Source organism: Homo sapiens, chromosome 21 (assembly GCF_000001405.40).
Source record: "Homo sapiens chromosome 21, GRCh38.p14 Primary Assembly".
NCBI lineage: Eukaryota > Metazoa > Chordata > Mammalia > Primates > Hominidae > Homo > Homo sapiens.
In genome coordinates, this window is record NC_000021.9 from 44,972,170 (window position 1) to 44,994,314 (window position 22,145).

General features: G+C 63.4%; 1 protein-coding gene and 1 long non-coding RNA gene across 10 annotated transcripts in view, besides 3 other annotated features; one reads left to right on the forward strand and one right to left on the reverse strand.

Annotated features, from left to right (window-relative positions):
• The window catches only part of SLX9 (SLX9 ribosome biogenesis factor), a 37,277-nt gene extending 32,473 nt beyond the window's left edge, over window positions 1-4,804 (forward strand). For 4 of the 9 annotated variants that reach the window (NM_058190.4, NM_001316984.2, XM_017028481.3 and 1 more), the window contains 2 exons: window positions 1,028-1,096; window positions 4,511-4,804. In NM_058190.4, the coding sequence (NP_478070.1) occupies window positions 1,028-1,096; window positions 4,511-4,634 (193 nt within the window). In that variant the 3' untranslated portion in view covers window positions 4,635-4,804. The remainder of the gene's footprint in view (window positions 1-1,027; window positions 1,097-4,510) is intronic. The other 5 variants (NM_001316988.2, NM_001316983.2, NM_001316985.2 and 2 more) reach the window with 2 other exon arrangements.
• Window positions 6,812-7,710: an enhancer, noted in NCBI's record as "H3K4me1 hESC enhancer chr21:46398896-46399794 (GRCh37/hg19 assembly coordinates)". NCBI's record gives its function as "activates a minimal SCP1, AML or CMV promoter by ChIP-STARR-seq in naive H9 embryonic stem cells {active_cell/tissue: H9 hESC(naive)}" and the evidence as "EXISTENCE:reporter gene assay evidence [ECO:0000049][PMID:30033119]".
• Window positions 7,711-8,607: an enhancer, noted in NCBI's record as "H3K4me1 hESC enhancer chr21:46399795-46400691 (GRCh37/hg19 assembly coordinates)". NCBI's record gives its function as "activates a minimal SCP1, AML or CMV promoter by ChIP-STARR-seq in naive H9 embryonic stem cells {active_cell/tissue: H9 hESC(naive)}" and the evidence as "EXISTENCE:reporter gene assay evidence [ECO:0000049][PMID:30033119]".
• Window positions 14,865-15,819: an enhancer, noted in NCBI's record as "H3K27ac-H3K4me1 hESC enhancer chr21:46406949-46407903 (GRCh37/hg19 assembly coordinates)". NCBI's record gives its function as "activates a minimal SCP1, AML or CMV promoter by ChIP-STARR-seq in naive and primed H9 embryonic stem cells {active_cell/tissue: H9 hESC(naive and primed)}" and the evidence as "EXISTENCE:reporter gene assay evidence [ECO:0000049][PMID:30033119]".
• LINC00163 (long intergenic non-protein coding RNA 163) lies at window positions 17,695-21,917 on the reverse strand. Its single transcript, NR_033840.1, has 2 exons — window positions 21,735-21,917; window positions 17,695-19,666 (listed from the first exon to the last, which is right to left on the reverse strand). It is a non-coding gene; the product is annotated as a long intergenic non-protein coding RNA 163 (long non-coding RNA).
• Window positions 21,918-22,145: the final 228 nt, after the last annotated feature.

Consider the following 22,145-nt stretch of genomic DNA (forward strand, 5'->3'; position numbering starts at 1 on the left):
CGTCTGGGTCCCATCTCACTGTGTGGACGGCAGATCTGAGAAGGCGCCTGGTGTGGCCTTGCGGGTTCTCTGTTCCTTTTAAGGCCCAGGTCGCTGTCCCATGTGAACATTCGGCCAGGTGGGCGGCTGCCTTGGCCGGCTGACCACAAGGAGTGCAGGCGAGCTCCCGAAGATTCCCACGGTTAACTGAGGGTGAGAAGCTCCGCGGGCAGCCGGAGCCTGCCTGGGGTGGACGTCAGAGATGAGAGTGTCCTGGCCCGCCCGTGCCCTTAGTCAAGGCCCAGCTTGGTGGTTTGGAGATCCCAGGACTAAAGGAAATAGCCAGCAGCACTCAGGAAACCTCCTCAGTTCCTCCACCTGTCCATGGGGGACTGCAGTGCTCGTTGGCACCCCCCGCAGGTGCAGGCAGGGCAGGATCTACGGTGGGTCCACGCCCCTGTCCCCAAGTTCAGTCATCAGGAGGGCAGGTGCAGCTTCCCACTGTAGCACAGCGTGCGCCTTCTTCTAAAGAGAGGACCTGGGGACATGTAGGCTTGGGTGGGTGACTCAGCCTTCCTGGGAAGTGGTGTGTACTGCGGGAGTGGGACTGGCTGTGCCTGCCAGGGTCCTTTGGCCCGAAGTGTGAGGTGTCTGCGCAGCCTGCCCTGGCCAGGCAGGTGGGGTGGAGACGCTGTATATCGTGAGACGTGTTCCTGGCTGACCACTCCCTCCATGTCCCATGGAGCCAGGAGGAGCTGCAGGAGTCACCAGATTCCACACGGAGCAGCTTGGGGCCCGCGGTCACAGGACGGTCAGGCAGTTGCACTGCTTGTCCGGGGCGGTCACAGGACGGTCAGGCAGTTGCACTGCTTGTCCAGGTCTCGCCTCCATGGCCACAGTGCAGCTTGGAACTTGTGGTTCTGCAGTGGTTTGGTCACCTCTGGCCACCACGACGTCTGCTCTAAGAAGGGAGGAGCCAGCCTCTGCCCACGGGAAGGTGTTTAGGGGATGCTGGATGCTGACTCACGTGGCTTCTCTGTGTCCACAGCAGGGAGAGCAACAAGCCCCGGCCCTCAGAGCTCAGCCGGATGAGCGCAGCCCAGAGACAGCAGCTTCTGTGAGTGCACCTGCCCACCTCCTCAGGGGTTCAGCTCCTGAGTGCCCTCACCCTGCCCACCCTCTCCAGGGGTTCAGCTCCTATGTGCCCTCACCCCGCCCACCCTCTCCAGGGGTTCAGCTCCTGAGTGCCCTCACCCCGCCCACCCTCTCCAGGGGTTCAGCTCCTATGTGCCCTCACCCCGCCCACCCTCTCCAGGGGTTCAGCTCCTGAGTGCCCTCACCCCGCCCACCCTCTCCAGGGATTCAGCTCCTGAGTGCCCTCACCCCGCCCACCCTCTCCAGGGGTTCAGCTCCTATGTGCCCTCGCCCCGCCCACCCTCTCCAGGGATTCAGCTCCTGAGTGCCCTCACCCCGCCCACCCTCTCCAGGGGTTCAGCTCCTATGTGCCCTCGCCCCGCCCACCCTCTCCAGGGGTTCAGCTCCTGTGTGCCCCCACCCCGCCCTCTCCAGGGGTCCTGAGTGCCTCCAGCCTGCCCTCCCAGGGGTTCAGCGGCTGAGAGCCCCGCCCGTGCCTCTAGTCCCCTCCACGCTGCTCCGCTGGCTCCTGCCTGTCTGCTCCAGGGGGGCTTTTCAGTGCAGTCAGGTCCTGTGGCCCTGGGTCAAGTCCCGCCTCCCAGGAAGGCTTCCAAGGGGAGTCATGGATCTAAAATGATGGGTGGACGCAGCCCCATCTCCGCCCCTCCCCTCCGCTGGCTGGTTGAAATCTGGATGATACGTTTGGTTCTGTGACTGGGCACTGCGGCCCCCAGTTAGCAGGGCTAGGACACTGATTTGCAGAAATTTGTACTCAGTTGTCCTCTTGGGTACAAAAATCTCCAGACCACGCACGCTCTCTTGCCTCTTTGCAGACTCAGCTCCAGTTTCCACTGAGAGAGCCACATTTTACGCCCTTGTAAGATGGTTTTAGTTAGCTGCTGGGATGATTTTTCCTGTGGTTTGAAATGGCTTTACTCAGGTGTTTATCAGTGGGAGCGTTTTGTGTCAGTTCTACCGAGGCCCATTGTGCCTTTCCAGTTGAGAGTCTGAAGTCTGTTTTGTGAGTTCGATTATGCTTAGAAGCTGCTGTCTGTTTTGTGAGTACAGTTATGTTGGGAAGCTGGTGTCGAATGGTAGCTCCAAAGATTTCTTTATTGTCTCGGCCCTTCTTCAGGGGCACCAATTATGCACTTACTGGATCTCTCTAATCTATCTGTCTTCCATCTCATGTTCTCTAATCCATTTTTACTCTAGACACTTTGTAGGGTCTAGGTGAAGTATAGATAGTATAGTAAACTGTCTTTTTTAGTTTTTTAAAAAGTTTTTATTTTTATTTTTTAGAGACAGTTCCTTGCTCTGTGGCCCAGGCTGGAGTGCAGAGGTGTGATCAAGGCTCACTGCAGCCTCCGCCTCCTGGGCTGCAGCGATCCTCCTGCCTCGGCCTCCTGAGGAGCAGGGTCTTCCCGTAGATCTTTGTGTTTGTCCTCTTTGGTTTCTGCTTCTCTGTTTATGAACTGAGTTCTTCCCAGGCCAGTCTTGTCTGGAGACAGTTTGCGAACAGCAGAGCCCTCTCCGTGTGGCCATCGTCCTGCCTGGCCTCCCTCTCCGCCTCTCCCCAGTGCACAGCCTGGTCCGGGGAGCCCCTCCCTGCCTGGACAGGGCGACGGGTTTTCCTCTTGCAGACTGTCTGTCGCCCGCACCCCTCGGTGCCCCCATGTCCTTGCGGTCGCGGCATTTTGAAGCAGCTCAGGTTAACGGGTCTCCTGGTTTCATCAAAGATGGAGTTTGGTTTCTCGCTGCTTCTGAGAGGAGAGCAGGAGGCCCCTTCCTTGTTCACTCCGTGTTTTGGAGCCAGAGGTCTGTTCCCTTTCATGTCCATGGTGCTTTCTGGCGCCTGTGGACAGGGCTCAGGTGTTTGAGTGGCTTGGATCCTTCGATCCCAAGATCCCAGTGGGAAGCAAGAGTGTTCCCCTCCCTGGGTCATGCTCCCCTGGGGGCTTCATGTTGGGCATGAGCCTTGTAGCTCCTGGAGCTGGTGGTCCGTGCCCCAAGGCTGCTCCCCTGAGTACGAAACCAAGGAAGGGCTTTTCTCTCAGGTGGGAGGCCCCGTCTATGGGTCTCTGTTTACGGTTGTCCAGGATGGCATCTGGAGGCCTGGCCCAGCATGGGAGCCACACAGTGCCAGGGGCACCGAACCCGTGTCCCATAGTGTCTAAACTCAGGCGCAGGCACAGGCTCCCCCTGCAGCCCCTCCCCGTGCAGCTTCGCTTCCAAGCGTCACTGTCACGGCTCCTTTCCTTCCCCAGCTCTGACCCAGGACTCTGCCCAGTGGACCACAGTGCTAAGAACCTGGCCTGGGCCTTCCCCTGGCCTCGGCTCCTCAGTTGCCCCAGGTGGGGCCTTGTTGGGTCCTGGTAGCCCCAGAGATCACTAGTAATGTCCAGGCTGTGACTGGGGCATTTCACCCTGACTTTACGGGGACAGCCCCAGCTGCCATGCTGGGGCCAGGGTGGCAGTGGCAGGAGGAGGTGGTGGTTAGTGACCAGCAGAGCCCTGACCGCCTCCTGCTGTGGAGACGGCCCCAGCCCCACTGTCCTCTGTGGCTCTGGTGTGTGGGCACCCCGCCCAGGCGGTCGTCCAGCGGGGTGTGAAAGAGCCTTGTCAACTGCCCAGGAAACCAGGGCCAGTGTGGTCCAGCCTTGCACAAGGCTCCGTGCACACGGGGCACACAGGCCGGAGGGGTACAGGCCCCACCTCCCCGCCACCAGGCTCAGGGCCTCTTGGCAGCTGCGGCAGAGCCCGTCTGGGAGCTGCCCCCGAGGCTTCTGTGCCTGAGAGGGGACCCAGGCCACCTTTTGTGTTCCACAGGGCAGCTCTCTGGCGTGCGGCTGGCTGCGCGGGGTTTAGAGCAGGAGCTGAGTGGCCGCCGGGCTGGGTGGCGGCTGGGGTGAGCTGGTGCCATGCTGGGTCGTCGCCGTGGCACCCATCTGGGGCTGCCGCGCCCCACTCTGCTGCAGGCCTCTGCCGGCTCAGGCTCTCGGCTCTCGGCTCTCGGCTCTCCTCTGTGTGCACCTATTTTGGTTGCCCGTGGAGGGAGCCGTCTCTCATGTAAGGAGTGAGTCTGCAGGGCTTGGGAGTTGCCGCCGCGTTTCTCAGCCTTGGCGGCAGCCCCATCAGCCCCAGACTTGCTGGCTGGGTGACACCTCAACGGCAGACCCCACAGTGGGCGCTGCCAGGGCTCTGGGATGCACGTGGCCACGAGGAGGGCCCGGGGCAGCCTCTCCCCTCCTGCCGGAAGTTTCCGAGGCCCCAGTACTCAGTCCCGTGGTGGCCCCAGGCCTCTGCCATTCATTTCGGTGTCTGACGTTTCCGGGTGTTGAGGGGCTGAGGGGTCCGGGGGTTCCTGCCTGCTGATCTGTGGTCTCCATTCTTTCAGCGAGGAAGAAAGGACCCGGTTTCAGGAGCTGCTGGCCAGTCCGGCCTACAGAGCCAGCCCCCTGGTGGCCATCGGGCAGACGCTGGCCCGGCAGATGCAGCTGGAAGATGGCGGCCAGCTCTGACCAGGGCAGCGGGCATGCCACAACTCCTCAGGACACATGTGGGCCAAGTAGAGAGCGCCGGCCCCTCAAGGACCATGGCCTGAGCCTGGTGGACGCCCTTCCCTCTGGTCGGTTGTGGGGCTCAATAAATGGCTCTGTGAACTTCCCCTGCACTGCCAGGGCCGTTCCCATGAGCTGCTTCCCTGATTCACAGGGCTGGGCACACCCTGGGACAGCTGCCCCCACTCTCCTCAGGACAACAAGCCACATCCCTCCACTGGGGGCCCCAGCCCCCACGCAGTCAGGGTGGACCGTGCACAGGGTTTGTGGGGACTGCAGTTGTGGAGGCCCCAAGTCCGTCCCTGAGCAGGCGCTGGTGCCCACAAGATAGTCTGCTGGCTGTGTTGGGAAGGAATTGTGCCTGGGTGTGGCCCCAGCTGTGCCACCAGCCGCCCTGATTTGCTTCAGCCTCAGTTCCTGCTGCGGCCCTGGTAGGATCCAGGAGCACTGAGGCCTGCAGGGGCTGCCGTGGGGGCTGGCTCAGGGCCTTCACCACCTGGGGGTCTGTTTCCCTTCCAGTCTCCCCTGCCATCCTCAGTGACCAGGGACACAGATGGCCCTGGCAAGGCCCCCGGCCTGCTCCTCGCCTGTGGGCTGCACCCCCCCTACCCCACCCGTTGCCCTCACCCTACCCAGCTGCTCCACACCCAGGCAGCCCACTGCCTTGCTCTGGGGGCGGAGAGCAGAGGGTCCTTCTGCAGGGAGGAGACGCGGAGTGGGCCCAGCCCTGAAGCTCTTGCTGACCCGGAAGTGAGAGAGGTCCTCCTTTGTTGCTGGAAGCCCTGGGATTTGGGGGTTGGTTTTTGGACTGTGAATCAGTGACTGATCAGTCCTTGTTTTCAGGTTGTGGAAAGCAAGGGGGTGGTGCGTCCCCAGGCCCCTGAGGCCCAGCTTGGCTCCCCCTGCCCGAGCTCCCCCCGTCCCAGGGCCCTGCAGGGCCTCGCTGGCCCATGTCCTGCAGCGGGGCTGGGCAGGCTGGATGTGGTGGTGTACCCCACTCAGAGTGTCTGGGAAGTGCAGAGCAGGACCACTCTCAGCTCCCAGGCGGGGGCCCAGCACCCTGAGCCTTCCCAGGCTGCCTGGGGTGGGGGTGGTCCCAGGGACTCTGGGGCCTCCTGGCTCCAGGGCATGTGGGTGGCCCCTATGCACAGCCCCTCTTGTTGTGAGCCCCCATGATCCGACCTCCTCTGGCCTTGCTGCCTGCTCAGGGTTCATAGCCCCAGCAGCCCCGCCAAGGATGCCTGGCGAGTGGGTGGCCGAGGCAAGTTGGAGCCTGTGTCCCTGCTGTTCAGTGTCCTGGCCCTTCCCTGACACGAGCAGACACGGCATCCACAGAGACAGCCCGGACACCCTCCAAGGCCCCGGCCGATGGGACAGACGGGCGTACAGGAGCCATAGGCAGCAGATCCCACGCTCCCTCGGCCGGGGCCAGCTTGGCTGCCCAGCCCCAGCTCCTTAGAGAACGGGCTTCTCGCTTCAGAGGAGCTGGTCACAAACCAGTGGTCGCGACAAAACCATTCCTGTGGTGGAGCGCGTGTGGGGCGCGTGTGGGGCGCGTGTGGGGCGCGTGTGGAGCGGGTGTGGGGCGCGTGTGGAACGTGTGTGGGGCGGGTGTGGGGCGGGTGTGGGGCGGGTGTGGGGCGCGTGTGGGGCGGGTGTGGGGCGCGTGTGGGGCGGGTGTGGGGCGCGTGTGGGGCGGGTGTGGGGCGCGTGTGGGGCGGGTGTGGGGCGCGTGTGGGGCGGGTGTGGGGCGCGTGTGGAACGTGTGTGGGGCGCGTGTGGAGCGGGTGTGGGGCGGGTGTGGGGCGCGTGTGGGGCGGGTGTGGGGCGCGTGTGGGGCGGGTGTGGGGCACGTGTGGAACGTGTGTGGAACGTGTGTGGGGCGCGTGTGGGGCGGGTGTGGGGCGCGTGTGGGGCGGGTGTGGAGCGCGTGAGGGGCGCGTGTGGGGCGGGTGTGGGGCGGGTGTGGGGCGCGTGTGGGGCGGATGTGGGGCGCGTGTTGGGAACAGCGTCCGGGATGCACAGAGCACAGCGCGGTGGGGAGGCGGCAGGGGCGGCTTCCACTTCCTCCAGCATCCCAATCCCACCGTCTGGGTTTCTTGTGAAAAACCTGGCCGGGCGCAGTGGCGCACACCTGTAGTCCCAGCACTTGGGGAGGCCAAGGCAGTCGTATCACTTGAGGCCAGGAGTTCAAGACCAGCCAACATAGTGAGACCCCATCTTGACAAAAAAATAGAAAAATTAGCCGGGTGTGGTGGTGCGTGCCTGTAGTCAGCTACTGGGGAGGCTGAGGTGGGAGGATTGCTTGAGCCTAGGAGGCCGTGGCTATAGTGAGCCAAGATTGCGCCACAGCACTCCCACCTGGGTGACAGGGTGATCCTCTCTCTAAAAAATAAAAACGTAAAAATGTTTTTTGCTTCCTGGTTTTGAAATGACTCTTGTCTGGTTGTGGCTCGCAGCCCCTCTTCTAGGGATCCTTGCGGGCTCAGGGGCCTCTAACTCCTCCCTGGGTAAGCAGCCCCCGGCGGTGCCTGAGAGTCGTGTGGAGGAGGGTGCCGCGGAAGGGAGGAGGATGCCGCGGAAGGGAGGAGGGTGCCGCGGAAGGGCGGAGGGTGCCGTGGAAGGACAGCGACAGGTACTTGGCCGGGCAGGAGTGGCAGCAGGTGTCCCATCGGCTGAGATGGATGCAGATTGTCCCAGGAAAGTAGCCCTTGATAGTATTTGCGGGGGTGCCACCCCAGCATTCTTTGCAGGTGCAGAGCCCAACCCTCAGCTAAGGCCGCAGCTGGGGCAGGGTCATCTTGTGACAGAAGGGCGTCCAAGTGTGGGGTTATCCGTGGCTGTCAGCTGAGCGCTCCTGGCCACCATTGAGAGGGAGGCTCCAGGCGGAGGATGGGGTGTGTGCATTCTCTGGACAGACACCTGGGGTAGAGCCCCTGAATCAGCAGATCAGAGAGGATGACTGTAGGAGCTTCAGGAGCAGGAACATGAATCCCTCGGTAATCGATTTAAACAAGTTCTACAGTTGACTCGGCTTTCATGCCTTTTAGACCCTGGGGCCCTCGGTGCATTTTTCCGAGTTAAAGGGTTAACACAGCAGATCAAAGCTTCCTGGGGCCTGGAGGTGCCTGGCGCTGGCCTGCAGGACTCTGAGAAGCTCTGGGCTGGGACCGTGGATGCCAGGCTCAAGGCCCGCAGACCTGGGCTGGGCACGTCCCGGGTGCCTCAGCCCCAGGCCCAGTGTTGGCATATGGGGGACTGTGGGGCACAATGGGAGACAGGAGAGGCAGTGGGAGGAGCCCCCCACCCTGCCAGTCCCGCAGGAAGGGCAGTGTCTGGTTGCAGGGGGTGTGGGGTGTTGGCCAAAGGAATAGCAAATGCCTGGCCCAGAGTGAAGGGCTCCTGGCTGGGATGGCCACAGGCCCTGGGGGGTCTCCCTCAGCCCCGGGCAGGCCCAGGTTCTCCTTCCAGGCGCCCGGGATCTCCTTTGTCCCTGGCTGTCCTCAGGCTGCACTTAGTGTGGCCACTCCAAGGGGGGCTGAGGAAACCACCTCTCAGCACCTACCAGGCTTCTGTAAGGCCCACACCCAGCAGCTATTGGATCCGCCTTTCCCCAAGAAAGCCCCCGGCCCTCCCCTTCTTCTCAGGCCCCTCACTGAGTCAGCAATCCCTGTTCCCAGGAGCTGTGTGTCCGTCACCAACTGCCGTCCTGGTCCTCAAGCAAGCAGGGACCGTTCCCACTGCTCCGGGGCAGGCCCCGCACACCCTGGCCAGCCTCGCTGGCTCCTGGAGCTGCCGTGACAAACGCACACAGTGGGGGCGTCAGGCAGCAGTGCATTGTCTGTGTCCCGGAGGCCGGTGGTCTGCACTTGGGGTGTCGAGAGCCGCCTCCCTCAGGCTGCAGGGCAGGGTCCTTCTTTGCCTGTCCGGCTGCTGGTGATTACTTGTGTTTCTGATTCCAGACGCTTCCTCCTGGTGCCACAGATGCCGGCAGCCCTTGGTTTCCTGGCTTGTGGCCACGTCACTCGCGTCGCTGTGTCTGTGACGCCCCATAAGGACACCGGCCATGTTGGGTTAGGGCCCTCCCTGCTCCAGTGTGGCCTCATCTTGACTGGTTCCAAATATGGTCCGGCTCTGAGGTTCTGGGGGACGTGAGTTTTGGGAAATCTCCAGTCTAGGGGGTGGTCTTGGGCACCAGGGTTTTAGACGCCCCTGCCGCAGGTGGGAGGGGGCCTGCAGCTGGAGCTGAGCACCATGGGCGTGGTGGGGGCTGCGGAGGTGGTGTGGGCCTCATGGCCAGGAGTTGGGGCCTGGGCAGCCATAGGGGGCTGCTGATGGCCACGAATGGGCTGAGGCTGGGATGTGAGGATTAGGGAAGGAAAGTGGAAGCTGTTCCAGGGCCCGTGGGGTCGTCCACGCCGGCTCCCCTTGCCCACCCGGACCTCTGGCCCCTTCTCAGGGTCTGATCTCCCAGTGCAAACAGAAGCACCCGGCCCCTGCCTTTGTCCAGCACCTTCCTGGCCTGGCCACGATGCTCCTGGACACTTTGGGCCCCGGTTTTCCTTTCTTATTTCCTCACCGGAAGGAAAGCTCCTGAGAGCAGGGTCTTTGCCCTGTGCGTGCTGTGTGAGCAGCACCGGGACTGTGCACAGATGAGTGAATGAGAGGCAGGAGACAGCGGGGCCTGGATGGGCCCTGCACACAGAGCCTGCGTGTGGTGTTCACGGGGGACAGCGGGGCCCGGACGGGGCCCTGCACACAGAGCCTGCGTGTGGTGTTCAGAGGGGACAGCGGGGCCTGGACGGGCCCTGCACACAGAGCCTGCGTGTGGTGTTCACGGGGGACAGCGGGGCCCGGACGGGGCCCTGCACACAGAGCCTGCGTGTGGTGTTCAGAGGGGACAGCGGGGCCTGGACGGGGCCCTGCACACAGAGCCTGCGTGTGGTGTTCAGGGGGGACAGCGGGGCCCGGACGGGGCCCTGCACACAGAGCCTGCGTGTGGTGTTCAGGGGGGACAGCGGGGCCTGGACGGGGCCCTGCACACAGAGCCTGCGTGTGGTGTTCAGGGGGGACAGCGGGGCCTGGACGGGCCCTGCACACAGAGCCTGCGTGTGGTGTTCACGGGGGACAGCGGGGCCTGGACGGGGCCCTGCACACAGAGCCTGCGTGTGGTGTTCAGAGGGGGACAGCGGGGCCTGGACGGGGCCCTGCACACAGAGCCTGCGTGTGGTGTTCACGGGGGACAGCGGGGCCTGGACGGGGCCCTGCACACAGAGCCTGCGTGTGGTGTTCAGAGGGGGACAGCGGGGCCTGGACGGGGCCCTGCACACAGAGCCTGCGTGTGGTGTTCAGGGGGGACAGCGGGGCCTGGACGGGGCCCTGCACACAGAGCCTGCGTGTGGTGTTCAGAGGGGACAGCGGGGCCTGGACGGGCCCCTGCACACAGAGCCTGCGTGTGGTGTTAAGAGGGACAGCGGGGCCTTGACGGGGCCCTGCACACAGAGCCTGGTGTGGTGTTCAGGGGGACAGCGGGGCCTGGACGGGCCCTGCACACAGAGCCTGCGTGTGGTGTTCACGGGGACAGCGGGGGCCTGGACGGGGCCCTGCACACAGAGCTGACTCCAGCGTCCCGATGGACCTCTCCCTGAGCTGTCCGTCTCAGCCTGCCCGTTCTACCTTCCCCTGTGGGCAAGCGTGGTGGGGTCCACCCAGATCACCCCAGACGTGTGAGTGCGTCAGCTCCCGGCAAGGGGTGTGTTCCGTGCAGCATTGCCGTGGGAGGCGGCGGGACCCTGTGCTGGCCCTGAGGGCTGGCTTGCATTCGGGTCCCTTGCTCCGCTGCCTGGATCGCTGGGCTCTGAGAGTGCCCCACGCGAGGGCTTTGTCTTGATGAGGCCTGCACCTGGCTTGTCCAGGCCCCACAGCGGCCTTGCACCAGCCTGAGTTTGTCCCTGAAGGTTACATCGGGTCTGTGACCTTCGTCTTGTGTGGGGAGGGAGGGCGGTGACGGGCCGCATCGGGCAGGGGCAAGGCACAGCCGCGACCCCCAGGCTGGTGAGTCAGGGTTCTGTGCTGCTTGGAAGCCAAGTGTTGTACAAACACCGGGCGTGTTGATTCTGGAATGTTCCCTATGTGGCGATAACGCCGGTGACGGCAGCCACTGTCGTTGCTCTGAGACGCTGGTGGGTGCTGGCTGCCGCCCAGGCCTTGTCTGCCTGCAGCCCCCGGCGGCCCCTCCAGCCTGGTGGGTTCTCAGCTGCCGCCGTGACCAGGGTTTTCCAGGGACACTGCTATCAGTGAGCGCTTCCAGGATGCCGGGGTGGCTGCCGGCGGGCGGGGAGGCAGGATGCTGGTCTTGCCTCCTTCCCCTTTGAAGTTGCCGTCTTGGGGCGTCTGTGCTGGGCCCTGGCTCCTGGCGCTGAGACCCTCATGGAAAGCTCCCTTCTTTTAAAGTCAAACAGACCCAATTAAAGTGTTTTTTCCAAAGATGTTAAAATAATGTGGGTCAGAGTGATAATGACAGGCCTCTTCCCTGGCTTGTTTCAGCCTTCCCTGAAGATGAGGAAGTTTTCATTTTAAAATTTTTGGTGGGGTATTTCTCAGAGAAAACCGGTGATGACATGTTTTCTGATTCTAAATACTTCTTCCCGGTGACACACATGCAGAGGCGCCTGGGGCCTGAGAGTCCCTGCAAGTACTGTGGAGCAGAGGCCTCATCTCCTGGTGGCCGGAGCCACATAGGACAGAAGGCCCTGGAGCCCTGAGTGGGGAAACTGAGGCCCAAGAGGAGAGAGCCTCCCTCCCCAGCCAGCCAGGTGATGGCGCTGAGATTCAGGAGCACGGAGCTTCTGACTCTCGCCTCCATGTTCAAGGTCAGCGTCCACCCCAGGCCCCGTGTTACTTGCTGAGCCTCCTGCTGTGCTCAGGTCTGTGTGAGGGGGACCGCGGTGCACACTCCAGTGTCCCGGGAGGAGCGGCCCCCAGGCGTCACGGGGCCGGAGGCAGGGGCCGCCCCTCCACAGGGTCCGAGACAGAATCTATTTTCCATTTGAGCCTCTCCCTCCCGAACTCCAAGTTCAGGGGTGGGATTCACATACTCTCACACCCCGCTCCACACACCCCACACTCACATCCCCTCACATACACACCCCTCCCCACACCCCACACACTCACACCCCACATACACCCCTACACACACCCTACACACACACACCCCCCACACACACCCCACACACCCACACACCCCACACACCCCACACCCACACACCCCACACCCACACACCCCCATACACCCCCATACACCCCCATACACCCCCCCACACACACGCCCACACACACCCACACACACGCCACATACACCCCCAAACACCCCCACACATACATCCGACACATGCCCCCCACACTCACACCCCTCCATACACCCCAATACACACCCCCCACACTTGCACCCCTCCACTCACACATCGCACACACACTGCACACACACACCCTCCCACACACCCCACAGTCCCACACACCCCACACACCCCTCCATACATCCCCCCCACACAGCCCCCCACACACCCCCAACACTGGCGCCCACCCTGCTGTCTCAGGAGAAGCCCCCATGCTGGGCCTATGGCCTCTCGGGCTCTGGCATCCCCCACCGGCCCCGATGGTGGCGGTGACCACACGCAGTCGTAAGGACGGGCGGCGTGAGGGCCCCGCTGAGCCGAGTGTGACCTGTGTGCTCCAGCCTGGAGCTGGCATGGCCGGGGCGCCCTTCATGGGTGGCAGAGTCCTGGCCTCCCCGCCTTCCCAGTGGGTAGCACACTCCCCTCTTCCCCCGGCCTTAGCTCTGGATTTCCTGGCACAGCCGTGATTACTCCACCTCGGCCCCCTCCCCTGGGCCCGGAAGACTAATTAACCCTGATGTTTAATTGGAGAACACGGCCGGGCCTGTGTCTGTGCGGCTCCTGTGGGATGGGGGCAGCCTTCTGTCTCTCCCCTCTGGAACTCTGCATGGCTCCTGGGTGGCCTGGGGTTTGACTGGACCTGGCCTTTGCCCCACGGCCCCTCCACCCCCGGCGAAACTGCCCCCACCCACACAGGGCCTGGCTCCCGCTGCCTGAACCCTGTCCCTGGCAGGGCCCACAAGCTCTGTCTCATTTGTGCGACAGCCGTGATCCCTGCTCCAGCCCGCCCCCTCGGAGCTCAGCCACGGGGGCATAGGATGGCCACAGGAAGTCCTGTCCCCTGTACCCTTGGGCCGGCCCTGAAGTCTCCCGGGAGGGAAAGGGGTGCCTGTGGGAGGCGGGAGAGTTCTGATTGGAGGGTGGTCAGCCCTGGGCCCTGGAGAGACAGCCCCAGTGGGGACTGAGGAGGGTGGAGGTGAGGCTGGGCGGGTAGCAGGCAGCTTCCGGCCAGGAGGTGCTCGGGGACCAGGATCCCCACTCCCGACTTTGCTGCTTTGGGATGAGCTCTGGCAGGTGGGGCGCAGGGGCAGGCAGAACTCAGGCCCATGTGGAACAGGCGGGGACGGGCTCGCCGGGCCCGGGAATGAGCGGGGCCTGCCGGCCTCCCAGTCTCATGGCAGGCTGCTTGTAAGAGAAGACCCGAGTCCTGGTGGCTTGTGTTTAAAATGCGGTGGGCCTTTCCGTCTCAAAGTGAGAAGTCTGGGCACAGGCAGTCCCAGCCTCTACGATGCCATTGGTAGCCCGGGGCCACCACCCTTCCCTCGTTCTCATGCCAAACAGCTGCCAGAGCCCCAGCTGTCACGTCTGCATCCCAGTCCCCGAGATGAGGCTGTGGGCCCCACAAAGCTGGTGCTTTTGCTTACAGGTACTGAGCATGGAGGCAGCAGGGAAGCTGGCAGGAAGCTCCCTGCCCTCCAGGGAAGGTATCTGTCCCCTGTTGCCCAGGCCATGGGCAGGGACAGGAAAGCAGCTTGCAAATCCTCTGGGGTGACTGGGCTCGGGCAGGGGCCCCATGTCACAGACGCTCCCAGCCCTGCAGGCGGGAGCTTGCATTTTCCAGAGAGAAAGTCCAGAGCGGGTGGGGGGTGAACGGCGTGCCAGGGCTGATCCTCTGTCAGGCCCTTGTGGTCTGGTGCTGCTGGAGTGCTCTAGGGGGAGAGGGTGCCTGTCCCAAGGAGCAGGGACGGTGCCCTGTTTGCTGCAGAAACACAGGCACACCTGCTGTCTGTTAGAAGACAGCCGCTTACCTGCACCCCAGTATGCCCCCAGGAGATGCCTGCACCACCTCTGGGAGAGAGTGGGCAGCTCAGCCAGGGGCCCAGGCCAGCCCGGGCAGGGGTGGCCAAAACCCATGCCAACAGGACATCTCTGGCCTCTGGGGACAGAACCCGGCACCATCGAAGCCTCAGGAAGGCCTGGACTCTGGGGAGCCCTCCACAGAGCTGGGAGGGAGCCCCAGGGCCTCTCTGTTCCCATCGGCAGCTCTGCGGCCTGCGGTCCCGGGTTCCTGTGTCCGCTGACCACATGCCATGATCGCTGCCCGCTGGAGAGCAGGACCCAGGGTGAGGTCTCTGCCCGCAACATGAGGCCCAGTGGGTGGTTTGCTATTGGCTTGGCCTCAGACCTGGTGGCTGAGGCTTTGGGGAGGTCATGCTCCCTCTGTGGGCCTCAGTTGACCCTCCTCTGTAAGCTAGGGGAGCTGGAGTGGACCCCTGAGACCCTCCCGGCAGCTCTGTTCTGGGGCTTCTGTGCCCCTGTAATGGACGCGCTGCCTTGGCCCCAGACCCCATCCTTTGGCGGCTGCTGCTCCCCGCCTGTTTCCACTGGACCCTTCAGCTGCCAACCAGCCTGGGCCTCCCCGCCCTGGGCAGTGGGCACATGGCCAAGCCCAGCTGGACTGACCCTCAGGGCCCTGCTGAAAGTGCCACCAGGAGGCATCTATGCATGGGTGTCTCGAAAACCCAAAATCCTTTCCAACGGGCACTGCTGCTGGTCAGTGTCAGCCAACCTCTGTGGCCTGGTGCATGGGGAGGGTTGGGGCTCCAGGTCTGCAGACACGAGGCAGCAGCCACCTCTGCTCAGGATGGCGCAGGGCCCTGGGATCCCTAGGACCCAGCCCGTGGACCCCAGGCTCCGGGGTGCCATGCTGGTCACGTTCCTCCTTCCCAGAAGCATCCTGGCTCCCCCGGGCTCAGTGAGAAGTGGCCGAGGACTCAGGCCAGAGGACAGCTGAGCCCCGTGGCACTTGGGTCCACTCAGACAAGGCCCTGCCTGGGGGTGATGCTGGGGGCCGGGGCGGTGGCCGTGCTGACCACTGGCTGCTAGGGTGGGGGGCCCCATACTCCCCACTCAAGCTTCGGGGGTGGGCTGGTGTCCAGGTTTAGACGAGGCAGGTGGGACCCAGAAGCACAGGCTGCTTACAGAGCAGCAGGTGGTTCTCATTGCCAGACGGACAGGCCTGGGACCAGCCTCTCGGCCCTGGGGTTCCTGTGTGCTCCAAGGACCTGCGGCCTCGGCTGCAGGAGAGGCCAGTGCAGCCAGGCAGGCCCAGCTCCGAGAGCCAGGCTGGGGTGGGCTTCCCGCCGGGCACTGCTCCACCCGCCTTCTCCCTGAAGGTCCCATTCCACCACAACTGGAACCAAGGCCTCTGCTCACCCCCAGGCCCCCAGCAGTGTTGCCTGCAGACTCATCTCTGCCACGTCCCCCATCGCAGTCTCCTCCCAGCATACTCCAAGGCTGCCTCCTCCGAGGAGCCTTCCCAGCTGCTCCGTGGGTGGCCCTGTCCCTGCCCCTCCCTCCCGTGGCCCTGTGCATCCCTCCTGGCCCTCTTTTCCAAGGCCGGAAGTCAGACACCTTTTGGGATCTGCGTGCCTGAGTCCTGCGGCCCTTCCTGGAGGGGAAGCTCGGCAGAGCCCCCCAATTCCCTCCCACTCCTCACCACCCCTTCCTGCGGTCCCTGGGATGGGGAGGGCTTATTCACAGCCGACTTGGCCAGGGAGGTGTGGGCCAGGCCGGAGCCGCTGCAGGCGCTTCACCCAGACAGGCCGGAGCCCGTGGGCTGGGACCAGGGCAGAGTCGTAGAAGCTGCACAAAGATGTTTAGGGGCCACATGCTGCCGTGGAGGCCGTGCAATGAAATCGGCCCCATCCAGAGCCCCCGTCCTTGGAAGAACAACTGGCCTGTGGCTGTGTGGGCTCCTCAGGTGGCCCCCCCCGGGGCGTGGAGAGCGGCCGAGCCAGGGCCAGTGCTCTTGGTCCACACGGGCTTCCCAGCCGGCTTGCAAGGTCCCCGTTCACCCGATTCCCCAAAGGAGACCTCCTGTCACGACAACGTGAGTGCTCCACAGCCAGGGGAGGTGCTGCAGCTGCAGAGGATGGGCACGCGGCACTGACCCCTGCCGAGGGGGCACCCAAGCGGCCTCGTCCTTCCCGCAACCCAAGGAAGGAAGCCCCAGGGTTTCCCAAAGTCCTCAGGGGAAAGCCTGCTGAAAAGCACAATTGCACCTAGAAAGTCAAGGCACACCCGCAGTCTCGCCCGTGCTCTCTGGGGCGGAGCTAGGGGGCATGTGTGCATGCATGTGTGTGCGTGTGTGTGCACGCCTGTGTGTGCATGTGTGTGTGTGCACATGTGTGCATGTGGGCGCCTTTGTGTGCATGTGTGCATGTGTGTGCGTGTGTGCGGGCAGGCGTGCATGTGTGCGTGTGCATGCGTGTGCGTGCGTGTGTGTGCGTGTGCGTGTGCATGGTTTCAGAGGCAAACCCAAGCATTCTCAACCAGCATGTAGGCATTTGCTTTTATGCACGCAGTCTATCAGAGTAGGGATGAAGCCCATCATTCCTAATTGTGGAACACTTTTGTCAGGAGATTTTATTGACTTTCCTCTCGGTGCCCTTTGAGAAAATTGTGTTTTTCTATTGTTTGTCCTGCTGGCAGGTGAAAGGTGTTTTCCTCCTGCGTGCTGCACAGCCTGAGTTTCTGAAGTCCCGAGCTCACGGACGGGAATTCCTGGGCCGGGCTGTATTTTGCCTGCTGGGGCCTCGTTTTGGAGTTGTCCTCTGCCCATGAGTGAACTGGCCCGTAACCTTCTGTTCCAATTTCATATTCTGGGGCAGCAGAGGGTTCCTCCTGGCTGGTATCCGGCCCTGGCTGAACAGAGGCCTGCCCTGCAGCTCAGGAGTCGTGTCTCTGACGCCTTGGGGTTGCAGGTTTTCAGCAGTGTCACTGAAGTTGCAGCCAGTAGGGACGGGGACGTGCTTGCCGGCCACCTCCCTGCCCCTGCCCTGCCCTTGGCAGGTGGTCCCCCAAAGCGGGACCCCACCCTGCCTGCCCTGCTGCTCCCCGGCCTGGTGCGCATAGAGGTCAGGACCCCTAACTTCTCCCCTCCCCACAGCTGCAAACCTTGCTGGGGGCTCAGAGCCAGGCAGCCCAGGCCTGAGGGAGGCCTGTCTGACAGCAAGGCTTCTGTGTCGCTTCTCAGGACCAGGTGTCCTGTCTGTCCTTGTCCCCACCTGGAACTTCCCCCTGGGTGGGGGTCCTGGGGTTCTTTGAGGCCGCTGCTGCCCACTACTACCTGCTACTCCCAGGGGTCCCAGCACTGGTCTGGCCCTCTTATGTCCTGATGCTCGGGCCACTGTCCTGCTCCTGACATTCCAGGATGAGCCCCATCCCTGTGTTCTCTGGGTTTGTGGGCCTCTGACAAGGTTGTTCCCTTGAGTTTCTCACTAGACAGTCCCCTCCCATCCTACCATGGGGCCTGCTCCTGTCTCCTTGTCACTGTTTGATGAAACCCTGTTTGTGGGATTCCACACTCTGGCGGGTGAGCATGCAGCTGAGGTCAGCCCCCTGGGAACAGTGCCACTGCAGCTGCAATGTGCACACGTGAGGCACCCCCCAGGCACACAGGAAGGCTGGAAACAAGCCCTGTGTCTCACTGAGGTGAGAGGTGCTTGGACACTCACCCGATGCCCTCCAGAGCCGCTGTGAGGTCAGAGAGGAGCTGATGCCGCCGTGGCAGACAGCGCGGGGCAGCTTCCAGAAGGTGGCCAGAAACACACTGGGAGGAAAACTTCTCATCTGAAATGTTTTTATTATAAATGAGAGAATAGAAAATAGATGAACTAAACATTCAATTTCAGACAGTAGAAAAGAAAACCACTATAAGCCCAGAGGCTGAGGAAGCAGACCGTTGTGCGAGGGGAGATGAAAGCCAGGCTTGGCTTGGCAGACGGAAAACAGCCGCTGTGATAAACCCAAGGCCGAAAGCCGTCTCCGGGGAGCAGCTCGCATGGCACCTGGGTGACCTGACAGCTTTCTGACCTGAAGCCACCATCCGGAATGTGATTCATTCCCTCTCTGCCCGGAGGATCCGTCCCAGGAGGGTCAGGAGCAGCCCTGGGGCCGGATGACCACGGCGTCCCCTCTCTGCCCGGAGGATCCGTCCCAGGAGGGTCAGGAGCAGTCCTGGGGCCGGATGACCATGGCGTCCCCGGACCATTCTCTGGAGCTGGCAGCCTGGGGCAAGGCACGTGGCCTCTCTGTGCAGCACCTGGCTCTTGTGTAACACGGATGGTGGCAGGCTCTGGGCAGAGGAGGGTGGAGAGGCCTAAGGTGCCCATGCTGGTCTGTACGTCGGACGGTGGGGCCGGCCTGCGCCCCGCAAGCAGGAGCTGAGCCCTGGGCCTGCAGATTCTGTGGTGTGTCGGTGCAGTGCTCAGCATCAGCCGTGACGGTCACACTGGCACTCGCTGTCTGTGTCACGCATTCGCATCCACTGTCAGCGCGTCACAGTGGCGTTCGCGGTGAGGATGGGGCGTTGCCGTTGGCCGGTGTCTCAGCGCACTGGCTGTCGGGCTGGTCCCCCTGGGTTCGCTGCTGGCGTGCTTGTTCTCCGAGCACTCGCCGTTCACGTCCTCTCCGTTCCACACTGGCCTTTGCTATTTTCTCCACGCGGGTCTTATGGATGCTGTCCGAGCTGTGGAGCATCTGCCCTCCTGGCCCTCCTGCAGCTCGGGCTGTGCTCTGGATGAGCGAGGGCAACGTTAGCTGAGCGTGGGGGGCCTTGAGGTCTCTGCTGCACTTTCCCGAAGGCTGAGGTCCCTGGGGACCACTGAGCCGCCCCATGGGCCTTCCACAGCACTGCCGGTGCCAGAGGGCAGAACTCGGACCGACTCTTGCCTCATCTGCCCTCTGTTCCGAGGAGAACCCTTCCGGACTGGGCCACAGGGAGTCCAGCCGAGGTTCGGAGGGTGGTCAGGGGTCTGGCTGCCCCAAGGGGGTGCTTCTCAGAGCTTTGGGAAGACACCGGAGCCCAAGGGTCTGGATGGCCGTGGCTGAGCTGGGTCTGAGAGGCCAAGACCAGGAGGGCATCACATGCACCCGTGTCAGGGCCAGCTGGGATGGGAGACTGAGGCCGGGGCGGGTGTCCGGGTGCCCCCCACAGCTGTGCTGGGGCAAGTCTGGGGACACCACCTCCTCAGCCCTGTCCAGGAGTGTGGACCCCAGGCATCAACTGTCCAGGGGCCTGTCCAGGAGTGTGGACCCCAGGCATCAACTGACCAGAGCCCTGTCCAGGAGTGTGGACCCCAGGCATCAACTGACCAGAGCCCTGTCCAGGAGTGTGGACCCCAGGAATCAACTGTCCGGGGGCCTGTCCAGGAGTGTGGACCCCAGGCATCAACTGTCCAGAGCCCTGTCCAGGAGTGTGGACCCCAGGCATCAACTGTCCAGGGGCCTGGGGCATCCATGGGCCACACGGCAGCGCTGAAAACACAGGGCCCTTGCACCCAGGGCAGACCTCAGCACAGTTGGAGACATCACTCCTGCCCTCCTTGCGCTCGGCCCGAGAGCTAGAGCTTGCTCAGCTCAGCCCCAGGAGGAAGCAGAACCGCAGCCTCCAGAACATTGGGGTGACCCCGTCGCTGAGGGTCCCCTGGCCCAAGGCCAGCGTGTGTCTTCCGGGGGAGGAATGACCTCTGGAGCCGCCATCCCCAGCCTCGGCAGCAGGGGCTCCAGGGTCCGGGAGCCAAAACTCAGCAGCTGCTGGGTGTGCAGGGAAAGTTGTTTAGATAAAATCCAAACAAGCACCTCATATATTACAGGAGGCTGTAAAACAAACTTAGCCTTGTGCTAATATTTTGGTTTGGTTTCCACTATCCACACCTAGAAGAATGTGAGCGCCATCCCAGCCCGGCGGTCAGTAACATTCCAGGAGCTTTGGGGAGCGTCTCCATTGCCAGTCAAGAGCCAGGCGCCACGCACCCCAGTCCGGAGGGACCGCTCAGCCTCGGGCTAAAAAAGGGAGAGAGCGCAAGCAGATGGCGTCCACAGCCGCGTCTCCAGGCCACAGCGGGCACCTGCAGGGCAGCTGGGAATGGGAAGGGCAGAGGCGGCCAGAAGCTCGTGCCCTCACTGATGCCGGCCCTGGCAGTTCTTTCCAAAAATCTTCCCACTCAGCTCCCTGAGTCCCACGGATCAGGCGCCCTTAGCCTGCTGTGCAGGGGGTGGGGGAGACTGAGGCACAGAAGGCCGGGCCCCCCAGGCACCAAGCACGGCCCATGACCCAGAGCCATGGAGTCACCCAGGCCGCACAGCTGGTGAGAGCAGCCCTAGATGAGGCGGAGCCACTGGGTTCAAGGCCAGAGTTCCTGCTGCACCCCCGACCCCTGGTCCCGCCATGGAAGGTGCCAGGAGTCATGTTCCCTGGGCTCCTCTTCCCCCAAAAGCCCCTCCTCATGTATGCATGAGTGTGTGTGTGTGTGTGAGAGTGTGTGTGTGCACGTTTCCCTGCCTGAGCACTGAGCACACCTCCGCACAGGCAACTGCTGCCACCACCTCATGGTCTCCCAGTAGCCACTATGAGGAGGGCAGAGGCCACCGCCTCTAGCCCAGCAGGACGAGGGCCTCGTGACCCGTGGGGGGAGCAGAGCAGGGTCTGTGTGCCTCGTGACCCCTGGGGGGTGGGCAGAGCAGGGTCTGTGTGCCTCGTGACCCCTGGGGGGTGGGCAGAGCAGGGTCTGTGTGCAGGGTTCCTTGCCAGGCACGTGGCCAGCACTGCAGGAGCTGGCATTGTGGTGGCTCGGACGCCCTGACCCCGTGTTGATGTTTTTGGTGCAGCCCTGCCCGCGTGGCCTTAGGGTGACCCATGTGACCACAGCCCATGGCGGGCACAGCACAAGGGAGGCCACTTCCAGGCCTAGGGGGTTAGACTGTGGCTTCTGGCACCTGGAGGAGACTTGGCAGCCTGGGGGTGCCACATGGTCAGGGGCTGAGGCCTCCCCACAGCCCCGTGAGCCCCGTCCTGGACAAGGGGCTGCCCGTGGCTGCCACCTGAGCCACAGCCACCAGCCATGCTGCCCCTGAAACGGGGGAGCTAACACGTGGAGGCATTTTTAAGCTGCTACGTTTTGGGGTATTTGCTACACGGCTATAGATGTCTGATACGCTGTGGGGTATGCCCTGAATGTGGGGTCTGGTTGGCCCTAGGCTAGCATCAAGCTTTGGGCAGCCAGGGCCCCAAAGCCCCCACTCCTGCCCACTGTGGCCACGCGCCTGCAGGACCAGTCCCGCCGCTGTGTGGGCCTCGCCTCTGGACACAGGCCCCAGGACCCCCGAACTGAGGCTGGCCTGGCTCCACGTCCTCCCGCCCACTCCCGTTCAGCGCTGCCAGGCACCGTACCCTCTGCTGCCCACCAGGACCCGGCTCCTGGCAGGCCTGAGCCTCCTCCCCATCTCCCTTCACCCTCCCTGAGCACCCCCCGGGCCCATGGGCCCAGCCTGCTGAGGGTGACTTCTTCACACCCAGGCTCTTGGCCCAGCCTCCTCACCCCTGTCCCTGGGACTTCCTCCTGGCCACACCATCCTTCCAGCAGTGCTCCCAACACACATGGCCATCCCTGGGGAGTCTTCCAGGCAGCCCTACCCACCATCTCCACCCACCTCCTTCCCACCTGCTCACCACGAGGTCCTGTTCCCAGCATACGGCCCTGCTGCTGGCTGGGGAGGAGATCTGACCCCTCCTGGGCCACTGTCAGCATCCCCGGGACACAGTGCTGCCGGCCTCCCTTTGGAGTCCAACCCTGTCCTGTCCCCACCTGCCCCGTCCTCCTACCTGTGCTGGTTCTGGTGAGCCTGTCAGGTGACACACCCTGGCTGTCTCCTCCATGGGGCACCCAGTGAAGCCGAGGGAGGACCCTGGGGCTGGGACTCAGTTTCCCCTCCTAGGGGCCACGAACTGGTCTGGATGCCACAGGCTGCTGAGGGAGGACAGGTCGAGGGCACCATCGAGGGTGAGTCTTGGTCGGCTGGCAGAGGGCTGGCCCAGGGAGCCCCGTCCCTCCCTGAGGGCCCCGCCTGCTCAGTACTGTGGCCCGTGGCCCGGGTTTGGCCTGTCCATCAGATCCAGCCCTTCGGCACCGGTGTCCCCAGGGCCCTGGGCTGTGAGGGGGTGTGGAGGGGAAGGAAGGACATCTGGGGGCGGCTGTCACACATGGGAGCATCGCTGACGGAGAAGTTTTCCTAT